Source organism: Homo sapiens, chromosome 2 (genome assembly GCF_000001405.40).
Source record: "Homo sapiens chromosome 2, GRCh38.p14 Primary Assembly".
Taxonomy (NCBI): Eukaryota; Metazoa; Chordata; class Mammalia; order Primates; family Hominidae; genus Homo; species Homo sapiens.
Genome location: NC_000002.12, coordinates 105780046 through 105799541, shown reverse-complemented (window position 1 = coordinate 105799541; position 19496 = coordinate 105780046). Strand labels below are relative to the sequence as shown.

General features: G+C 44.8%; 1 protein-coding gene across 10 annotated transcripts in view, besides 6 other annotated features; it reads right to left on the bottom strand.

The window, feature by feature from the left end:
• Nucleotides 1-19496, bottom strand: part of NCK2 (NCK adaptor protein 2) — a 149820-nt gene that overhangs the window by 94731 nt on the left and 35593 nt on the right. Inside the window, exon 1 of one of the 10 annotated variants that reach the window (XM_047446020.1) lies at nucleotides 8458-13585. The exons of the other annotated variants lie outside the window; for them this stretch is intronic. The gene's annotated coding sequence lies outside the window, so the exon portion shown is untranslated. Of the gene's footprint in view, nucleotides 1-8457; nucleotides 13586-19496 lie in introns of those variants that run through there. 10 annotated transcript variants of the gene reach the window in all.
• Nucleotides 9049-9098: an enhancer, noted in NCBI's record as "active region_16326". NCBI's record gives its function as "activates an Ori minimal core promoter by ATAC-STARR-seq in GM12878 lymphoblastoid cells {active_cell/tissue: GM12878}" and the evidence as "EXISTENCE:reporter gene assay evidence [ECO:0000049][PMID:35858748]".
• Nucleotides 9179-9228: an enhancer, noted in NCBI's record as "active region_16325". NCBI's record gives its function as "activates an Ori minimal core promoter by ATAC-STARR-seq in GM12878 lymphoblastoid cells {active_cell/tissue: GM12878}" and the evidence as "EXISTENCE:reporter gene assay evidence [ECO:0000049][PMID:35858748]".
• Nucleotides 9469-9518: an enhancer, noted in NCBI's record as "active region_16324". NCBI's record gives its function as "activates an Ori minimal core promoter by ATAC-STARR-seq in GM12878 lymphoblastoid cells {active_cell/tissue: GM12878}" and the evidence as "EXISTENCE:reporter gene assay evidence [ECO:0000049][PMID:35858748]".
• Nucleotides 12285-12856: an enhancer, noted in NCBI's record as "H3K4me1 hESC enhancer chr2:106403143-106403714 (GRCh37/hg19 assembly coordinates)". NCBI's record gives its function as "activates a minimal SCP1, AML or CMV promoter by ChIP-STARR-seq in naive H9 embryonic stem cells {active_cell/tissue: H9 hESC(naive)}" and the evidence as "EXISTENCE:reporter gene assay evidence [ECO:0000049][PMID:30033119]".
• Nucleotides 12653-12702: an enhancer, noted in NCBI's record as "active region_16323". NCBI's record gives its function as "activates an Ori minimal core promoter by ATAC-STARR-seq in GM12878 lymphoblastoid cells {active_cell/tissue: GM12878}" and the evidence as "EXISTENCE:reporter gene assay evidence [ECO:0000049][PMID:35858748]".
• Nucleotides 16142-16642: an enhancer, noted in NCBI's record as "H3K27ac hESC enhancer chr2:106399357-106399857 (GRCh37/hg19 assembly coordinates)". NCBI's record gives its function as "activates a minimal SCP1, AML or CMV promoter by ChIP-STARR-seq in primed H9 embryonic stem cells {active_cell/tissue: H9 hESC(primed)}" and the evidence as "EXISTENCE:reporter gene assay evidence [ECO:0000049][PMID:30033119]".

Below are 19496 nucleotides of genomic sequence, written 5' to 3'. Positions count from 1 at the left end.
GGAACATGGGAAACAGACCCAGAGGCCTCTGGGAATTCAGTGTATGATAAAGGCACTATCTCAAGTCAAGTCCCCAGGGAAGAGACAGCCTTCTCAATAAATGGCCATGGGGTACTCTGGTTGGCCATCTGAAAGAAAGCTGGAGCCACATCTCACGCCCACAACAGGATAAATTCCAAAGGTATCCAAGATTTACAATGAAAAAGTAAAAGTATAGAAGGACATATGGAAAACACCCTTTATAACCCTGAAGGAAGAACTTTTTTTTTTTAAACCTAGGACTCAAATTCCAGAAACCATAAAAGAGGGATGAATTCAACTACATAAACATAAAAAATTTTCTTACATGATAAAATATACCACAGATAGATTCCAAAGACAAATAAAAAGCTAGGAGAAAACATTTGCAACTTAGGACACGAAGGACAGACAGGACACAGCGAGAGCTTCTTAAATAAACTTGACACAAGAAAAGACCAACACACCAAGAAAACCGTGGGCCAAGGAAAACCAGGTAAGAAAATATAAGGCCTTCAAACTGATGAAAAGGGACATCTGAACTTCACTAAAATGATACTAAGATATCACCTCTCACCTTTCAGACCACTGGAGATCAGAAAGTGTGATGACAACAACCTGGTATAACTTCCTGATTTTCAAAACTGTGCTGTGGTTAAGATGTTAACATCTGAGGAAGCTCGGTGAACAACTCAGAAAAATAAGGTAAGAACATTTTGTATTAATTTCCCTAAATGTATTTATCTATGAAGAACCACAGCTACTGCTTTGCTGCCTGGTTCATCTGCTTCAAAATAGACACCCACAGTTTATTTTCATTCTGTTGAGATTCACCGTCCACATAAACTTAATCACCAGCAACCTCAGTGGGTTCACCACAGGCTTCCCCCATCAAAGTAATGCATACATTTTGTCTTTACTCCAAGCTTACATGTATCTTTGGGGAACTTCACTATTCATATCTGATTATATGAATCAGATATGGAAGATGAAAACAATTTTAACCCTTATTTCTTCTCTCTAAACCAGACCCCAAACTGGTTCACTGTTTAAAGTGTACAATTCAGTGCTTTTTCTCATTGTTAAAAGCTAGACTTGTGGACAGATCTCTTCATTTTATAAAAAGAAAAAAGGAGAACACTGAAAGAAGAAAAAAAAATGACTCAGCTAACCCAGTTTCAAGAATATTCTGGATGTACAAACAAGAGGCCACAGTGAGGCTATCCGGGCTCCCAGGATAGGAGGGAGGCTTCCCTTGAAGTATGGTTTTGGCTAACTTATTTCTTACCTACACGTTACTCTTTCAAATACATTTTTTCAACAAAATCATCATATCAGAAGAAAACAAACATTACAACAAGCGAACATTAGCTCCTACTCCTTTCATAGAATATTAAATCCTAAAGATACTTATGTTCAAAAACACATCTTCTGGAAGTAGGGGATGATTTAATATTGAGTCTAAAATAGATGGATCAAAACCATAAATTAATAAAAATGTGGTTATAATTTTCTTCTCCTAGGAAATGAACCAAATTAGATCACTATAGCTAGTCAGCCCACAGTCAAACCTGACTTGGGACGATTAAACACTTAAAGATCTGCTGTTAGTGCCGGTAGCTTAAAAAAAGTTGCGAAGCCATAAATTAACAAGCAGAGTCCACACCAAATTGCTGAAAGGGTTTTTTTTCTGTGCCAAATTTACAAACTGGTTTTCTAGAAGCATCTTGTTTCTACAGGAGGACAAAAGCTGACAGGAGGCCACAACATCAGGTGTTTTGTTTTAACTGATCATGGTTACGAAAGACTTTGCATCAGCTCACTAAGCCTAAACAGGGAGGCTCCACACAGTCGCTGCAAATCCAGCCACTTCCTGCCTCACTGTTACCATACTCATCTCCAAAAGGCCACACAGGGACTCCAACCAGACCAGGCTCCACGCTCCATTCCAGCCATCCTGACCCTAAGACGCTGTCAAGAGAGCAGCCTCCCTCACATGGGTGCAGAGAATTTAAGAACCTCCCTTCTGCTAGCCCGCACAGCCTGGCAGCCTGCTGCTTGGCCATACTGGTTTTTTCCCCCTTAGAAAGACCTGGATACCATTTCTGCCCTTGCATTGCACAATATGGAACCGCATGGCTGGCAGTCTCTTCCGGTCCTAGAACTGTGAGTTCAACACACACCACCCAGAAATAGCACAAATTGGTTATTTCCTGTGCAGAAAAGAAAAATCAGCCAAGGCTTCAGAATCCCATTTTAAAGGTTCCCCTTAAAACACTAGTATAGGAGCTGAAATAGGGGTGTCCTTTCTAAGATCCTGAATTTGGCCAGACAGAAAGGATTAGAAATCAATGTCAACTTTTTTCTTGTGGGTGGGGGAGATGCTGAAAGAAAAGATGGTGGTACAAACTGTGAGTCAAAGGCCTAAAAAGGATAATAAATTTTTATGTCTTAGAGACATAAAGTTAAAATAAAAAAGGGACTGTGATGACTAAATCCATTTCTGCAAGACTATGCTTGTAACCATCATCACAGCAAACACTCACCCCAGCTAGGGGTACTGAACCAACCACAGATAAGTGCTGACACTTACAAGTAACATGCTTAATAAAATTTATTTTATCAAGACAACTCCTGAGAGGGCAGACTAACCTGTGAACTGTCACCACTAATGTCTATAAGTGTTCTAATTATATATATTTCCTTTCCATGGAATCAAATGTATACTGCATTTACCTGCGTCAAAGAGAAATGCTTAGTTATTTTTCCAATTCATTTAATTTATCTGATAGAGGTATGAGAAAGTACAAGGGAAAAAAAAGAAAGGGAATAAACATGATGCCGAGAGCTTCTGGAATAACACTAAACTACGGGATACTCTTCCTTGCCAAATGCAAAAGGAAGAAAAGCACCATCTCCAGCCTTCCAGCTCCCAGGCTCAGTCCAGACGCTGCCGATCTGAACACCTGCGTTCTGTGCCACACACTCATGTCCCCAGGCCCTCTCTGCAACCGGTGCCAATAATACCCCATGTGCTCCCTGCTCCAATGCCCCCATTCATCCATATTTACATACATGACCCTTAAAACAGCAAAACATTGAATTGTTCACTCCTCTTTTTAGTGGAAATTGAATATTTCTTAAGATCCTAAAGTGAGGCAACAGGAAGTACAGAGATAAGATAAACTGACACTAACCTCCAGCACTCTCCTGTGTGCCATCAATGACAAAACAGCCTTGCAAGAGCAGCAAAGCCACCACTCTGCCCACCAGCCATATATACTTACACACGCCTGCAAATGATTGTCTTTCAACCCTGAAGCCACAGTGCCCAGAGGGCGGCCAATACAGAGACTATCAACCTCAGTCACTTTCAACCCTGAAGTTGGTATTCCATGTGCATGCACCTAATAAAATTCTGTCTTCTTGGGACCTGTATCATAAAGCAGAATTAGCTTTCCAAAAAAAGTTTGACTGCACATATGATTTATACCAGAGCAAACTACAATAGAGCTTTCAAATGCTAAACTGTTTTGCTCTTTTTACAAGACTGGTAATAAAGAATATATCGTTGATGTGTTTCATTTTAAATGATTCATGTTTTCCTAAAGTCCTAGATGTAAATACCTAGTTTTACTGAAAAAGACTGGGGGGAGGGTGCGTGGAAGATGAGAGGAAGCGGCGAAGGAAGGAAGTTAGGGAGGAGGGAGAGGTCTAGAGGGAGGAATAATGACTCAAATACCTGGTTGAACATGAGCAGTGTTTCTCACCAGGGGCATACAGACGTTTCGGTAATTCTTTGTCGTGGAGCTGTCCCCTGCGTTGTAGGATGTTTAACAACAATCCACACCCTGCCTAAATTGGTGACAATCAACAACGCCTGCAGACACTGCCTGCTGAATATCCCTTGGGGAATGAAATCACCCTGGCTGAGAACCACTGACGGAGCATACATGTAAACTAAATAGACCAAGTTTGTTAAAGCAAAAATAAGACAGGAATATCCATGTATTTTCTAACTCTTTTGGAATATGACTCAAATATTTATGCAGCAGTTTTTATAATTACCCGTTTCAAAATAACTAAATAAACAGGCCCATTCAGTTTAACTCAATATCATGATTAAGTTACAATATACCATATAATTAGAAAACCACCTTTGACCTCTTGCTTGGGAAAAGTGTATAGAGTATGCTATTGCTTATTTGAGGAAAAAAAAAATTAAAAATATATCACTGTATACACATATGTGTTTGCTCACATTAAAAAGCAATAATTATTATTATACATTTGTCCAAACCCATGGAATGCACAACGCAAAGAGTGAACCCAAATATAAACCCTGGACTTTGGGTGATTGGTTTTTGTCAGTGCAGTTTCACCCACAGAAACAAATGCAGCACCCTGTCGGGGATGTTGCTAGTTCATGTGGGGGAACTGGATATATGAGAAAACTCTGTACCTTCTGCTCAGTTTTGCTGTGAAACTAAAACTGCTCTAAAAAATAAAACTTTTTTTAAAAAGCAAGAAATAAAAAGGGGAAAGAAAAAAACATCTTTAAAAAATGGTGATGGAAAAGAGTAGGGAAAAAAGAAGATAGAGAGAGTAGTCATACAAAATAATCATTCTCTGGACATAACCATCTTTGGCTGCGGAACCATGCGAACAGTTTAGATAATAAACTATTCGGGAGGCTGAGGCAGGAGAATCGCTTGAACCCAGGAGATGGAGGTTGCAGTGAGCCAAGACTGCACCACTGCACTCCAGCCTGGGTGACAGAGCAAGACTCCGTCTCAAAAATAAATAAATAAATAAATAAATAAATAAAATAATAAACTATTAACTTTTTTAAAGTCCAAAAATTAAAAGCAGAATGAAACAAACTAAACTATAAATTGAGTTGGTGGCTTAAGTACAGAGAGGAATTATCCTGAAAGACTTTGAAATACAATAATTGGACTGTATTTCCCCTGTGAGATAAACCCTAAGGACAAAAACATTTTCTGTTGTTTTCAGTACTTATATGGTTTGCAATTATATTGGTGGGGTTATTTTAAACATTTATATATATTGTATATAAATAAAACACACAAGCAAGCAAATAAGTCATTACGTAAACGATCCTAGGGACAAAGATTTTCAGCATAAAGGAAATATAAAATCAAAGGATTCAGCCAGGCATGGTGGCGCATGCCTGTAATCCTAGCACTTTGGGAGGCTGAGGCGGGCGGATCACTTGCGGTCAGGAGTTTGAGACCAGTCTGGCCAACATGGTGAAATTTTAGAAAATTCTTCTAAAAACACAAAAATTAGCCAGCGTGGTGGCAGGCGCCTGTAATCCCAGCTACTTGGGAGGCTGAAGCAGGAGAATCACTAGAACCTGGCAGGTGGAGGTTGCAGTGAGCCAAAATGGCGCCACTGCACTCCAGCCTGGGCGACAGAGCAAGATTCCGTCTCCAAAAAAAAAAAAAAAAAAAATCGAAAGATACAATATTTTAGAATCCTAATTTTGAGTTATAAGTATCAATGTGAATTTATAATAGATTATGTTTAAAAACAAACCACACCAAAGAAAAAAAGCTTTTATCCACTGAAAAGGCTCAGACACAATGACCAAACCAGAAGCAACCCATAAACAGTAGTGGTCCCCACAGTTCTTTGAAGGCACGCAGACCCCAGCTGGGGTAGGCACTGTCTAAAGGAGCCTGAAACCCCCACAGCTCCCTGCTTTCCGGTGTGATTATTAAGGACTACAGGCACGTGGCAAGAGAACACGAAGGCCACCTAAGGCAGCTTTCGCTGGCCAAGGCTGGGGCAGCCTGAGCAGCAATGAGGGTGTCAACTGCAGTGGGTAAAAATACACACAAAGTATCTTAAATCAGAGTTCCACAATTGCTACTCAAAACAAAGAAATAAACAAATTCATTGCTCACTTTGGTGGATACTGGGGAACCAGAACTATTTACTCTGAAAACTGCCAAATAAACTTGTTAGCCAGTGCAATGCCTACATGACCTAGGTGAATTTCTACCCTGCCTTAACTCTACTTGTCTCAGAAACAGGATGCCCGAGGTCAGAAGTTCCCTGCCTGACCAGACCAGCTGAAACCAGTGGGATCCAAGATGGCAGCTCACCTGACCTCTGAAGAACCTTTAACTTCATTATCATCTAATTTCCATACTAAATGACACTCCCACTAGGACCATGACAGTTGACAATCACCATGACAATGACAAGAAACCATAAGGGGACAAAAAAACAGGCAGCACTCTGGTTTCCAGAAGTTCTCCACCCATTCCCAGAAAATACATGAATATTCCTCTCCTGGCTTTTAATGCCCAATCCCTTCATTAAAGATGTCCTACATCTGTGGCTTCCCACCTCTCATGGACTGAGAAGCCAATTTGCGAGCCACACTGCCACTTCTCAATTCCACGGCCATTATATAAAGCCTGCACTGCTTGATGCTCACCTTCAGTTTCATGGGTTGGCTTCATGACACAGGACAGGAAAGAATCCCACCATTAGGGAAAAGCTGACTCGGTTGGTGAGAAAGGGAAAGACTCCCATCTAAACTGCACGTCGGGGTAATAGCTGACAAGTACTCTCCTCACCTGGCTAGCAAGTGCAGAAGGAGTGACTGAATCAGAAAATCATCACTTTGCAACCCCTGTGCATTACAGGTGGAGGCCACGGCCATCCAGGTTGCTCACATGGGCCTCGGCCTGATAGATGCACACACACCACCTAAGGGGCAGCCTTGCCAGAAAATCGCACCAGACTGGCTCTGGTTCTGATGTGCAGTTTCTAGGAAGTTCAGGGTCCTAGTCAGCACATTGCAGACTGTGGGAAGCCCAAATGACAAAAGACCGGGTTTTGCCAACAAATCAACTGGCATGGGGAAGGTGGAAAAAAAAAAACAAACGAGTTTGGACAAATCAATAGATCATTCAGCTGCATGTGTGGACCTTACGTGGATTCTGACTTTAACAACCAGTTGTAAATAACATTTTGAGACAGGTGGGAAAATTTGAACACTGACTGCATACTTGTTAAGTAGTTATTGTTATTGAAATTCCGTAATATTTACAGGACAGGAATTGATGTCTGGAATTCACTTCAGAAATAATCTGTTAGAGTCTATAGGGGCTTAGATAAAGGATTGGCCATTAATTGATAACTGCTGAAGCTGGGCAATTTATTCTGATTCTACCTTAGGACTACACTGAATATGATGATCTTGATAACTAAGAAATCACATCTTACAAAGAATGTCAAGATCATCATAAAATGTGATAGCTGAAAGGGCCATCAGAAACCCCCAAGCAGCAAACCATCTTCTACATATGAAGGTGCGCAAAGCACCTCCCTGCCTAGGGCATGGAGCGGGTCAGTGGTGAGGCTGAGCAGGAGGGGTCTCCAAAATCTCATCCATCTCTCCGGTCACCAAGGCAGGACTGGGGAAGCGTTCCCACGGCTCTGTGCAGAGCCCACAACACAATCAACAGCTTGCTTTTCAGAATCAACCGCTAACCCATTAAGGCTCTTCTTTTTGTTTCTGATTATGCTTAAAAAACACACACTCAAAACATCGAAAAAACATTTTTGGTAGCTTGACCTCTGCTCCTCCCAAAAAGAAAAATCAGTTCACTCGATAAAATCTTGGTAAGTTATTCGGGTGTTAAATATACAACAGATATGAAAATATTGAGTGGCCTATCAAAACACAACCACCACGAGCAGCTGCGTCATTTTTACATGGATCAAATTATAGACAAAACTCACAAGCTCTACGAAGAATGTATACCACTGATTTGCCTGAATTGTCAAGTAGAAAAACGAAACCCTGTATCAAGCACTTCAAGAGGTCACTATGATCAGATCTATTATGGAGTCAGTTCGAAATGCTCTTTGCTCTAGAGAAGTTTAAATGAACACAAGAGTGCTCTAAAAACATACAATAAACTACACTGTAATACACGGAACAAATAAGGACATCCCAAAGACAGTGAGCGAAGAGTAATCTGCAGCAGCACTCTGGCCGGTAAGCACGGCAACGGGGCGAGGGTGCACTCCCTACATTGTTGTTAGGCACTTTACACCGTATATCCTCCCATCGTGAAAGCCACCGAGCCTTCCACCACACCTGGTCACTCTTCTTCTGGAGTGAAGAGAAAAACGTGAAGGCACAGAGGTTACGTGGGAGAGGTAAAAAATGACCAGTTTCTTATCAGTGTGGCTGTAATTTACATCACTGCCTCAGGTTTCTCTAGATGAATCAACATTCTCTTAAGAATTACTAGAATTTAAATCCTGGAAGGAAGGATTAGAGATCTTCCGCTGTCACCTCTTCATTTAACAAATGAGAAAATGAGGGTGCAGAGTGGCTGAGCCCAGGGCCGCAGGGGCTTCCAAGTGGCTCCCACATACAGTACCTACCCTCTCAGCTGTGTTGCTCATGGGCATTTCCAGAGCCCCAAAGTTTCCTGAGTGGGAGCGGACAACCTCTAAGCAGTGCCTTCCAACTCTTGCAGGTTCTAACACGAGGAGCACTCCCCTAGCAGTGTGCATCTGTGATATAAAGGGGAGGGGTTGGACTCTGGCTGGCTCCTCACCAAGCCCTGCAGATGAGGACTCTCCTCCCTTGCCTCGGGCTGACCTGCCACACCCTTCCTTCTTCGGGCACAGCTCAAAGGCCGTTCCCTCCACCCAAGTCTTGCCTATGTGCATCAGCTGGCAGCGAGAGACCCACCTGGACAGCAGCCTTAAAGAAACAGGTACAGTCTCCTGAAGACAAGCTCCACCCATGTACACTTCTCCCCTAGGGGTGCCCAGAACAGAGGAAGGAGGCACTAAGGGCCTGGCCTGATGCCTTCACCTAAGATGAGGACAGGTGCGGGGGATGCAGTAAGATGTCACATCAAGTGATGACACTCCAGGCAGCAACACCTGGCACACTTCTCAAAGGGCCTAGGAAACCAGGGCTCCAGAGGTGGCTCCTCTCAGTGGGTGAGGTAACAAGAAATGGGGCAGGCGGGGGTGGCCGGGCTCCCAGGCTGCCTGCAGAGGGGTCTCCTCACAGGCACAGACTCTCCTGCTGCCCAGGCATAGAGTGCTACCCATCCTAGAAGTCAGGCTACTTGCCAGCCTATGGCATTGAGAAGCCCAGGGCTCAGCAACTGTTCCCACTCTGAGTCAGCAGGGCAAGATCTGCTAAAAATAGATGGTGGGCAATGACGAGAGCTGCAGGAAGCCAAGAAACGAGTCTGTCATTTTAATCCAATCAACAGATCCTAATGACATGCACACTATTTCTAACGGTTTACTTTTATGTCTAAATGTTCAGGTCTATTTGTGGGCTTTGATGAAGAAGAAACGGCTGCCCGTATTTTTAGCTCACAAATCAACTTTTAATTCTTCTCGTTCTACAAATAGGAAGTAACATTCCACAAAGTAGAAGCAATAAAAATTAAGATGTTTTGAAGACAAGCCAATTCTGCTCCCTTGCACTCAATACATGAACACGCTAGTGTTGGACTCTGATTACCCTGCCCCCTCCAGGCAGTGATGGCAAAACACAACATCCATTCGTGAACATTTAGTTGGCGACCACTCATATCCAACCTGTTCGTTATCTGATGGTGAGGTGTGCCCTGGCCAGCACCAGCATCACCTGGGGACTTTTTAAAAATGCAAATTACTGGGGCCCACCCCAGACCACTGAGGCAGAAACTGGGGGTGTGTGGGGCAGCAGTCTGTGTCAGAAAAAGCCCTCCCGTTAACCGGGAGCAAGCCTAAGTTGGGGTTTGAGAATCACAAGCCGGGGAGCAAGGTCCTCACCAGCAGATGATGATGGACAATAAGTGCTTTACAGCTGGTTCCGAAGGCAGGTTTTATTGCTCCTATAAGGATTTTATGTAGCAAGAGGATCATTTTCATCAGAAAGACTCAGGGAAACATCTCTTCAACTAGAAAGAACTCTCTTATGTGTAACAAAAGAAGGCTAATGTTTTTCTCATTGAAAAAAGGTTGTGAGGCCAGGCAAGGTGGCTCATGCCTGTAAGCCCAGCACCTTGGGAGGCCGAGGCGGGTGGATCACTTGAGGCCAGGAGTTGGGAGACCAGCCTGGCCAACATGGCGAAACCCCATCTCTACTAAAAATACAAAAATTAGCTGGGCATGGTGGTGCACACTTGTAATCCCAGCTACTCAGGAGGCTGAGGCAGGAGAATTGCTTGAACCTGGGAGGCAGAGTTTGCAGTAAGCCAAGATCGCGCCACTACACTCCAGCCTGGTCAATAGGGTAAGACTCTGTCTCCAAAAAAAGAAAAAGAAAAAAATGGTGTGAAGTGCCACATCTAACTGCAAACCTGGCCTCTCACACCCGCTATGGGAGCCGAGGGTCCCAGGCCCTCAGCTGAGGAAGGTGGGTGGGGCTCACTTGGGCGCTGGAACCCTCTGAGCACAAGTGAGGCTGCGGGCATCGGGAGGAGGGGGAGATTGGCAGAGAAGCGTGCATTAAATCGTTCACAGTCATACCATGTTTTAAATAACAATTGTCTATATCAGTTTAGAATTCTAAAAAGTTGAATGCAACCAGAATACATTTTTAGAAACCCAAACGAGCAGATAAGAGATCCGCTGCCCTGACTAGTCACCCTCTGTCAAAACACAACAGAATTAACACAGATAGCTTTTGTTTAAAGTACAGAGTATTGGATTACAGTGGCTTGTTTGTAACTGATTTAAGCTATATAAGAATGAAGAAAACGAATGAAGGAGAACAAACAAAAAAAATTATGCATTCTATGGATAAAGCATATTGAAAGAAAACAAAAAAATAGAAAACTCTAGGAGAAGGCACTTAGAGATGAGGAAGTTCTGCACTGGCCAACAGAAGTGTCTTATTTAACCTACATATAAGTAATATACAGTATAATAATTGTATTAATATAGTACAACTATAGATATGTTAAATATCAAAAATATATATTGCTTGTATTACTTGTTCAAGAGGAGATGGAGATAACAGTAGTTTCAGAATCCCTATTAATGAGAAAAGTTCATTTGGATAGAGTATGACTATAAATATACAAACCAGAGGAAAAAGGAAACCTAAGCATGGAAAAAAGACTGAAACATCATCATCTAAATGGCGTTGATAGAAATGGAGAAAAGAATTTCCCTCTCCTTTTAACCTACTTTTAAGCAATGGCTTTAACTCCATGAAAATGCATTTTATGGGTGTAGAAGTTTCAAGGGCACAAAAATCCTTTAAGCAAAAGACAGCACTAGTACCTAGGTTTTCTAACTTTTGTCTCCAATTCACATAGCTGATGAAAAAACTTATCTAGAATTGGCCTCCTTCCTCCCCAACTCTCACTTCTAATCCCCTACACTTTACGGAAGTGAAAGGAAAGTCAAATTGAGAAGCTTTTTCAAAGCTAGCACCCTCACTTTTGCATCCAAAATGGATCCAAGCAGATCCAACCTTGGAAGGAGACACATCCCAACTCTGATTTGTCCTTGGCTGGTGGCACGTGGAGCCCAGGAGGGCAGGAAGCCCAGGTCTACTCACTTCTGCCAATGGGCCAGGGATCTACAAGTCGGGGGCGGTGGGGGGCGGTATACGCATGTGTTTCTAACAGAATGAGATCATCTTATAACATGGATGTAGCCCAAAATTAAAGCAAAACAAGTTATGGCCGTAATTTTCCCATCTACCCATTCCCTCACTGTCATCAAGAAAAGATGGGCCTTGTTTCCAGCAAGAAGGAACCTGGCTAGTGGAGATGCTCCTATGGGGAAGGTGCAGTGGTCACCAGTGCACCCTGACACCCCATGGGGTGGAGTCTCCACCGCAGGGAGAGACTGAGGTAGCTTCACTGCCTGAGTCAGCTCAGGCAGCCCTAACAAAAGACCACAGGCTGGGGGCTTCAACAGCAGGTATTCATTTCTCGCAGCTCTGGAGGCTGCAAGTCCAGGATCCAAGTGCCAGCAGAGTCTGATGGGGGCCACTTTCTGGCTTGCCGATGGCTGCCTTCTCGCTATGTCCTCAGGTGGCAGAGAGAGCTCTCTGCTGTCTCTTTTCAGAAGGGCAGGAATCCCATTATGGGGGCCCTACTCTCAACCCTATTTCCTCAGAGGGCTCATCTCCAAATATAGTCACACTGGGGGTTAGAACTTCACCACCTGAATTTCTGGGGGACATAAAATTTCAGTCCATTGCACTTGCAGGTGGAAGACTCAGCCCAAGCCTACAGATATGACCATGTCAGAGCTGAGACTGGGTCCTGCCCCTTCCACGGCGCTGAGCTGAGCTTCCTTCAGTGTGAGGACAACCAACCCAGAAAAGAGAAATCCAGCTGAGTGCTCAGGGCTGAGGGTCAAAGGTGAGGGCAGTGGGAGTAACAGCAGCTGCCCAGTGCCACCACGCCTGCAGCGGGCAGAGCAAGACAGCAGAGGAGTCGCAGCAAAGGGCAGAAGAGAGGAAAGCAGGGCACATGCTCACCCCATTGAGAGCCACCAAGGCCAGGGAGCACCTGTGCGGCACCACGCCAGCTGAAGTTTCGCAGGTCCCCTGCTTCGAGTCTGGACGGTGCTGTTATCACCATGCTTTAGAAAGGAGGGTGCCTGAGCAGCAGAGGTAAGGGAGTCAGCCTAAGGCTAGGGTGGGAGCAGGGCTGGTAGAAGGCACTGGCCCAAGAGAGGCAGAGGGGAACAAACCCAGGAGGAAGCAATGCGTGGGGGAGGCAGAAGGGAGGAGAGAGTAGAAGCTGGACCTGAAGGAGGCAGAGAAATAAGAGACAGCGATGGAGACAGGAAGCCCTGCCCGGGGACCCAGGAGAGTCAGGCCAGGCCACAGCCACCACAGGGACACAGTGCTTATCAGGCCTCACCCTGAGCCAGCTATGTGGAGTTTAATTTCACTCTCATAACCGCGCGAGGCCGGCATTACCTCCTTTTCCTAAAGGTGTGGATGAGTCTGAGCTAAAGGAACCGACTCAGCATCTCATGCTTAGAGAGGAGCAGACACAAGATCCCAGCAGCGGCCAGGGCCACCTCCAAGGCTGGCAGCCAGGTCTCCAAAGGCAGAGACCTTTCCAGACAGGCCCAAGACAACACTCCCAGCCTTCCCGAACTCCCATCCTGTCCCCAGCCTGCCCACTGGCCGTTCCCAGGGCTAATGGAACAAGTCCGTGCTCAGAGCCAGGCCTGGCACATAGCACATGCTCAGCTAATGATCACTACGGTTATTACATAGATTCAAAATAATCATTTGTTATCAGAGTCATTTGTACACATAATTTTTTCATCCCTGGTGCTGGGATTGTTTGTAATTTATTGTTCAGTCCACAACGCTAATCATGCTGCCCTAGACACAACAGATGATCAATAAAAGGCTGGCTGGATGAATGGATTAATTAACTGATAGAGAGATGTGCAGTGGAAGGGACGTGAGAATAAGGCAAATAAGGCAGAAGGTAAATGAGAAAATTGACAGATGGGCAAAGAGTGGACACACACACGTTTACGAAAACACAAAAAACAGGCAAAAGGTATTAAGTCCAGGGAACCAGTCGCCCAAGTTAAATAATTTGGGCCTCCCTGGACCATCATCTAGACCAAAAGTATTGCACTGCTACTAGATATCGTATTTATTTTCTTCAGCACATCAAATGAGAACAGCTAAATAAATAGACTCAGCACTTACTAGGAGTCCTGCGCCCAACCTCCTGCTGACCCTCAGAATGACATTTTGGGTGTGATCAGGTTCTCCCAAGCTTCGGCTTATAAAGCACAAAGGCAAACTTAACCTCGGCAGGGCTGCCCCAGACTCCCTGGCTGGGCATACCTGCAAACACCTGAGCGGATGTTGAGGTGGCTCAGAGCCAATCCTGTGGCTTCCACTCTATTGGTGCTATTGGAGATTGGGCCTTTCCCTTTACTGTTCACAGCGGGAAACCTGTCAGTGGGACCAGGTTACAAGGAGGACTGGGCAGGCTGCATTAGATTTTGTATTGGCGGTCTTTTGGTCGTGTCACTTTGGACTCTATCTTTCTGAATAGCAGGAATTACACTCACATGTCTCCCTGTAGGACAACACAACAATTTTTTCCTGTGTCCACAGACATCTCAGGAAGCTTCCCACTAGCCTCCTTGGCCAGGACGGGGGAACCGTCCTCTGGTTCTTTTTACACTTGGACACACACAGCATGGCCACCTCGGCTCCCAGTGACACCGTAAAGAACCAACTGCCGCTCACGCCTGTAATCCCAACACTTTGGGAGGCCGAGATGGGCGGATCATGAGGTCAGGAGATGGAGACCATCCTGGCTAACACAGTGAAATCCTGTCTCTACTAAAAATACAAAAAATTAGCCAGGTGTGGTGGCCGGCGCCTGTAGTCCCATGTGCTCAGGAGGCTGAGGCAGGAGAATGGCGTGAACCCAGGAGGTGGAGCTTGCAGTGAGCTGAGATCGCGCCACTGCACTCCAGCCTGGGCGACAGAGCGAGACTCCGTCTCAAAACAAACAAAAACAAAAACAAAACAAAAACGAAAAAACACACAAAAAAACACATAAAAAACAACTACCTGCTTCAGAAAGCATTTCAAACTGGGAGGCTGCCTAAGTGCATGCACGTGTTCCTAACTTTACTCGTGTATCCTATTCTGTCAGTATCTGAGGACACACTCTTTGTGCATATTCTAAGAATGTTGAAATGGGAAGTGTGGGAAACACGGGCCTGGAACAGTGGCTGCTGAGGAACGGATGGACCTCAACAGACACACTGCTCCTCCAGGGGCAAGTTTGATGGTGTTATAGTTTTCACTAGACTAAATGAGAATCTTTTATGGCAAGCATTTGTAACTGCCTGCCTAACCACAGACATGCTCAATTTAAATGTGATTATTATAGAAATGATAAAAATGCATTTATGCTCACCTACATTGTAAAGACCTGAATACATCTCTACATTGTACCCTCCACAAGCGAGGCTCCACATAGTGGAAACACAAATGTATCTTGAATTTAACATGCCCCTTCACCTCAATATAACCAGCATCAATACTTACTAGCCTGAAAGGCTGTTTTAAACAGCTTGACATGTAAGCAAATTAAACTCTCCCCTCCCGATTCACCCCAAGCCCATATGACCACCACAAGGAGTCCGATCAGCAGGTGGGAAAACTGCTCCCCAGAAATGCCACTGGGGTGAGAAAAGGGATGGCAACTTCCTATTAGAAATAACAGCCGGGCGTGGTGTCTCATGCCTGTAGTCCCAGCATTTTGGGAGGCTGAGGCGGGCGGATTACTTGAGCCCAAGAGGTAGAGGCTGCAGTGAACAGAGATGACGCCACTGCACGCCAGCCTGGGTGACAGAGGGAGAGCCTCTCTCAAAAAAGAAAAGCTCCCAGTGACGCTTTCCTGAATGAAAATGAATTTCATCACTGCCAATGCCACGCATGGTGTTGAGGCCAACCAGGTGCCACAGAAGGGACCTGCCGTCCAGCTGAAGCAGGTCCTGCTGCTTACTCAGTGACCTGCAAAGGCAATGGCACTCTGTCTTCTGCAGAGAAAGGGTGTTTCATTTTCTCGTGCAAATTCCAAATATATCCACATTTCAGATTGCTACAAGGCAGTACTATAAAGGGAGAAGCGAAACAACTCCCACTTTCTGGGAAGAAATGCCCTTGTTTCCAGCTGCAAAACCCTCTCTGTGGGGAAGCACACTGAAGTCGCTCAGGAACAGGCCACCCCTCTTGGAAAGAGTGGAGGTCATCATTTTTCACCTATTAGCGAAAAAAAAACATAATCTGAATACATTTATGTAGGGCTATTACCCAGAATATTTACAGGGTTTCTTCGTGCTAAGGTATTTCATGATGCTCAGAGGAACAAGGTGGAAAAAACACACCATTATTCTCCGCGAACGGCTGCCTTCCTAGTAACTGCACCCACGGTGGCAAATACTGCACATTAACCTGTGCCTTGGTGGTGTACGAAGCTTCCCACAAGCAGGTGAAGATGAAGAGCTAAGTCTGGCTCAGACAGGCAACGCTGCATCGAGCTGTTTTTACTCTAAATAAAAACCATGTTCCACGCGGGCCTTCACGGTGCTACCCCAGAACACGGGCACAATTTAATGCCTCACTCCGAGGAAGGAAGCTCAGGGAAGTCTCCTCTAGTGACTCTTAGAGGCTCCCCAAAGGAGGAGGGCGATGGGGGCCCACCCAAGCTCTAGCGAGGCTACAAACAGCACGCAGAACATTCCACTGCCATTACTTTCCATCTTCAAAAGATTACATATCATCTTAAAGAAAATTCAAGGTTAAATTGGCTTCCTCAGCTGCTGCGGCAGAAAGCAAAGCAGTGCTGCAGAGAAAGTTAAACCACCTCCCAGGGCTCTGGCCTTCTGCAACTCTTATTCTAAGGCAGCTTCCCCATCTATCTTGTTCCACGGTTATATCCCAGGTACCCAAAAAGGCTCTGGCCTTAAGGCTTACCTGTTGCAAATGATAGTCGACCAACTCAGCTGCAAATGGGGCTTGTTATGACACCGGAAATAAAGGTGAGGCTGCCACCCTCTTCGCCAAGCCGGTGAGCACAAGTGTCTGGAGTAACTGCCCCCTACGCCTCTCCAGTTGGGAGCGTTGGGGACAGTAAGTGAGTACTAGTCACTGGAAGCCAGCTCTGAGAGGCAGGTGCTGTGGCTGCCAGAGCTGAGCACAAGCCTAACAGCCTTTGCAACCTCCTCTTCTCCCCGACATCCACTTCGCCTCTACAGGCAGCTGCAGCCCATTTTGCCAAATGATTTCAACGGGCCGGATCCCCCACTCTCAGAAACGATCAGGTTCTATCATTTGACGTTGCATGAGGAGAGCTAAATTAGCCATGAAAACAAAACTGCTCTAACAAAATAAAAAGTACTAAAACCACATACTACCTATGCATGGAGTTCAAGAGTGAGAGGATGAAAACATAAGACACTTCACATAGCCAGCATTCCTCAAGTGAGATTTTGTGTAGAATTTAAAGTAACTTTAATACTTAAGAAAAGAGCGTTCATTATATAGACTGTTTCTTCTCAAGTCCTCAAATGGCCATCAACCCAACTCTGACACCTGCTGTGGAGAGAGTGGAACTAGTTTTAGGGAGATTTTTGGTGGCAGAGAGAGAAGGCAGATCACTAATCCCCATGGGCTGGTGGAAGCCATCAGCAGGATGTGCCTGATAATCCATCCATCTACACCAGAAGGAAGGGCCACCCTGAGTCCCTGGGCCCGGCCACCCCGCCTGCCTACAGCCAGACCAGGAGGGTTGTCCCCTTACTCCTATAAAGAGAGGGGAAAGAGATGATCGGTGATAGGCTCCCACTCTCGCGGAAGCCCAAAAGCAACTTCCCGCAGTCATAGTAAGAACAGAGTAAGGAAGGAATGGACCTCAAACCTGGGAAACCAGGTCTTTGTCTAGGAGCTCCTCCCTCAGCTTGAGGGACCTGATGGGCCGCAGGTTTTCAGGTAATTTGGACTCACTTGGACATTCTCAACTTCATAGTCAAGAAACTGACAGCTGTATGTACCTATTTCAGTTAAAAGCATTTACGGCAAGAAATAAAGAGGGAAGAATACATATGCACGTATACCAGTTCATTCAGCAAATGCCTAATGAGCATCACTACGTGGCCAGAGTCCTTATCACAGACTCATTCCAACTGGAGAAACAGACATGTCTACAAATTTTCGTACTGCGGAGAGGCGACAGCTCTGTCACAGACAACATAAATTGCAGGATTATCACTTGCCAAGCCACAGGCTCTGTACTTTTCATGCATTGCTCTTTATTATAAACCTAACAACTACCTTACAAGACTGCTATTTTCTCCATTTTTCAGATAATAAAACTGATGCACAAAGACCTCTGCCAGCCCAAAGTCACACTATGGCAATGGCAGGTCATGATTCATGCCAGCAAACCAGATCTTAACTGCTAGGCTGTACTGCCTTCCAGGAATGAGTGCAGAAATATTACGAAACAGACGTACATGGACTAGAAGGCCAAGGAGGGTCACTAGTTCTGGCTGGGGGAATCCTGAAGGCTTCAAAAGGGAGATTGCATTTAGTCAAGTCTTGCAGTGTGGGAAGGGATGAGTGGTGGAGGTGGAAGCGGAGATGGGAGAAGGCTGCCCCTGTGTCAGCAACAGGACCTGCAAAGGCACAGAGGTGTAAAAAGTGCACGGCTCCCTTGGGAATACCTAGAGTAATCATGTTCATAAAATTCACAAGGGCTGAATGGTAGAAGGTGGAGCAAAGATCAGATTTTAAAGGTGCTTTGACAACACAAAGGCACCTCTAGGAAATGGGAAGCTAATAGTTTATAAGAAGAGAAGTAAAACAATTAGATCTGTATCTTTGAAAGCCAACCCCGGAATAGGTGGGTGGGAGGGAGAAAAATCTGAAAGCAAGAAGACAGGAAGACCACGACCAGGTGAGAGACAAAATCTAGATTCGGGCAATGAGAAAAGAGAGGGTCACTTAGTCAAGGCTGGGTGACTGTGGTAGTCCATTTGGCTGGCTGTAACAAAATACCACAGAATGGTGGCTTATAAACAAAGGAAGTTATTTCCCACAGTTGTGGAAGCTGGAAGTCCAAGATCAAAGTACCAGGAAATTCAGTGTCTGGTAAGGGCCTCCTTCCTGGTTCCTACACGGCGGCTTCTTGCTGTGTCCTCACATGCTGAAGGGGTGAGGGGGCCCTCTGGGGTGTCTTCCGTAAGGAAATTAATCCCATTTGCAAGCGCTCCCCTCTTACGACCTAATCACCTCCCAAAGGCCCCACCTCCAAATACCATCACCTTGGGGGGTAGGATCTCAACATATGAGGGACACATTCAGACCACATCAGTGACCAGGGGCTCTGACTGGTGACTGATGTTTCAGCATAATTACAGACAGCACCCCTCCCACTCTCAATAGTGCCCAGGTATAGATGACAAAAATGTGGTTATCACTTTATTCAACATCTATATGGATGTGACACAGGACATGAGCGAGAAGCAGGATTTGAGGATGAACATTAGAATTTTAACCCAGATACCAAACGAAAATGAGAGAGCCAGAAAGGGAGAGAGTATGTGTGTGTGTCCTTTAGATGAATGTGTGTGTGTGTGTGTGTGTGTGTGTGTGTGTGTGTGTATATATCTCTCTCCCATATTATGGAAATAAATGTGACAGACATCTAAATATTTATGACTATCAGGTCCCAACTTAATCTAGATGCTGAGAAGCAATGGTTTTATTAATAGAAATTTCACTTTAAAAACCTTCCAAATATTCTACAATAAATATTTATTATTCTTGATTAATCTTGCAACCAGAAATTTTAAAACAAAGGAAATATGCTTCATTTCTAGTACGTCCAAAATATGCTCAGTTAAAATAATGCCATTGAATAAGGTAAAGGCAAAACTGGAAA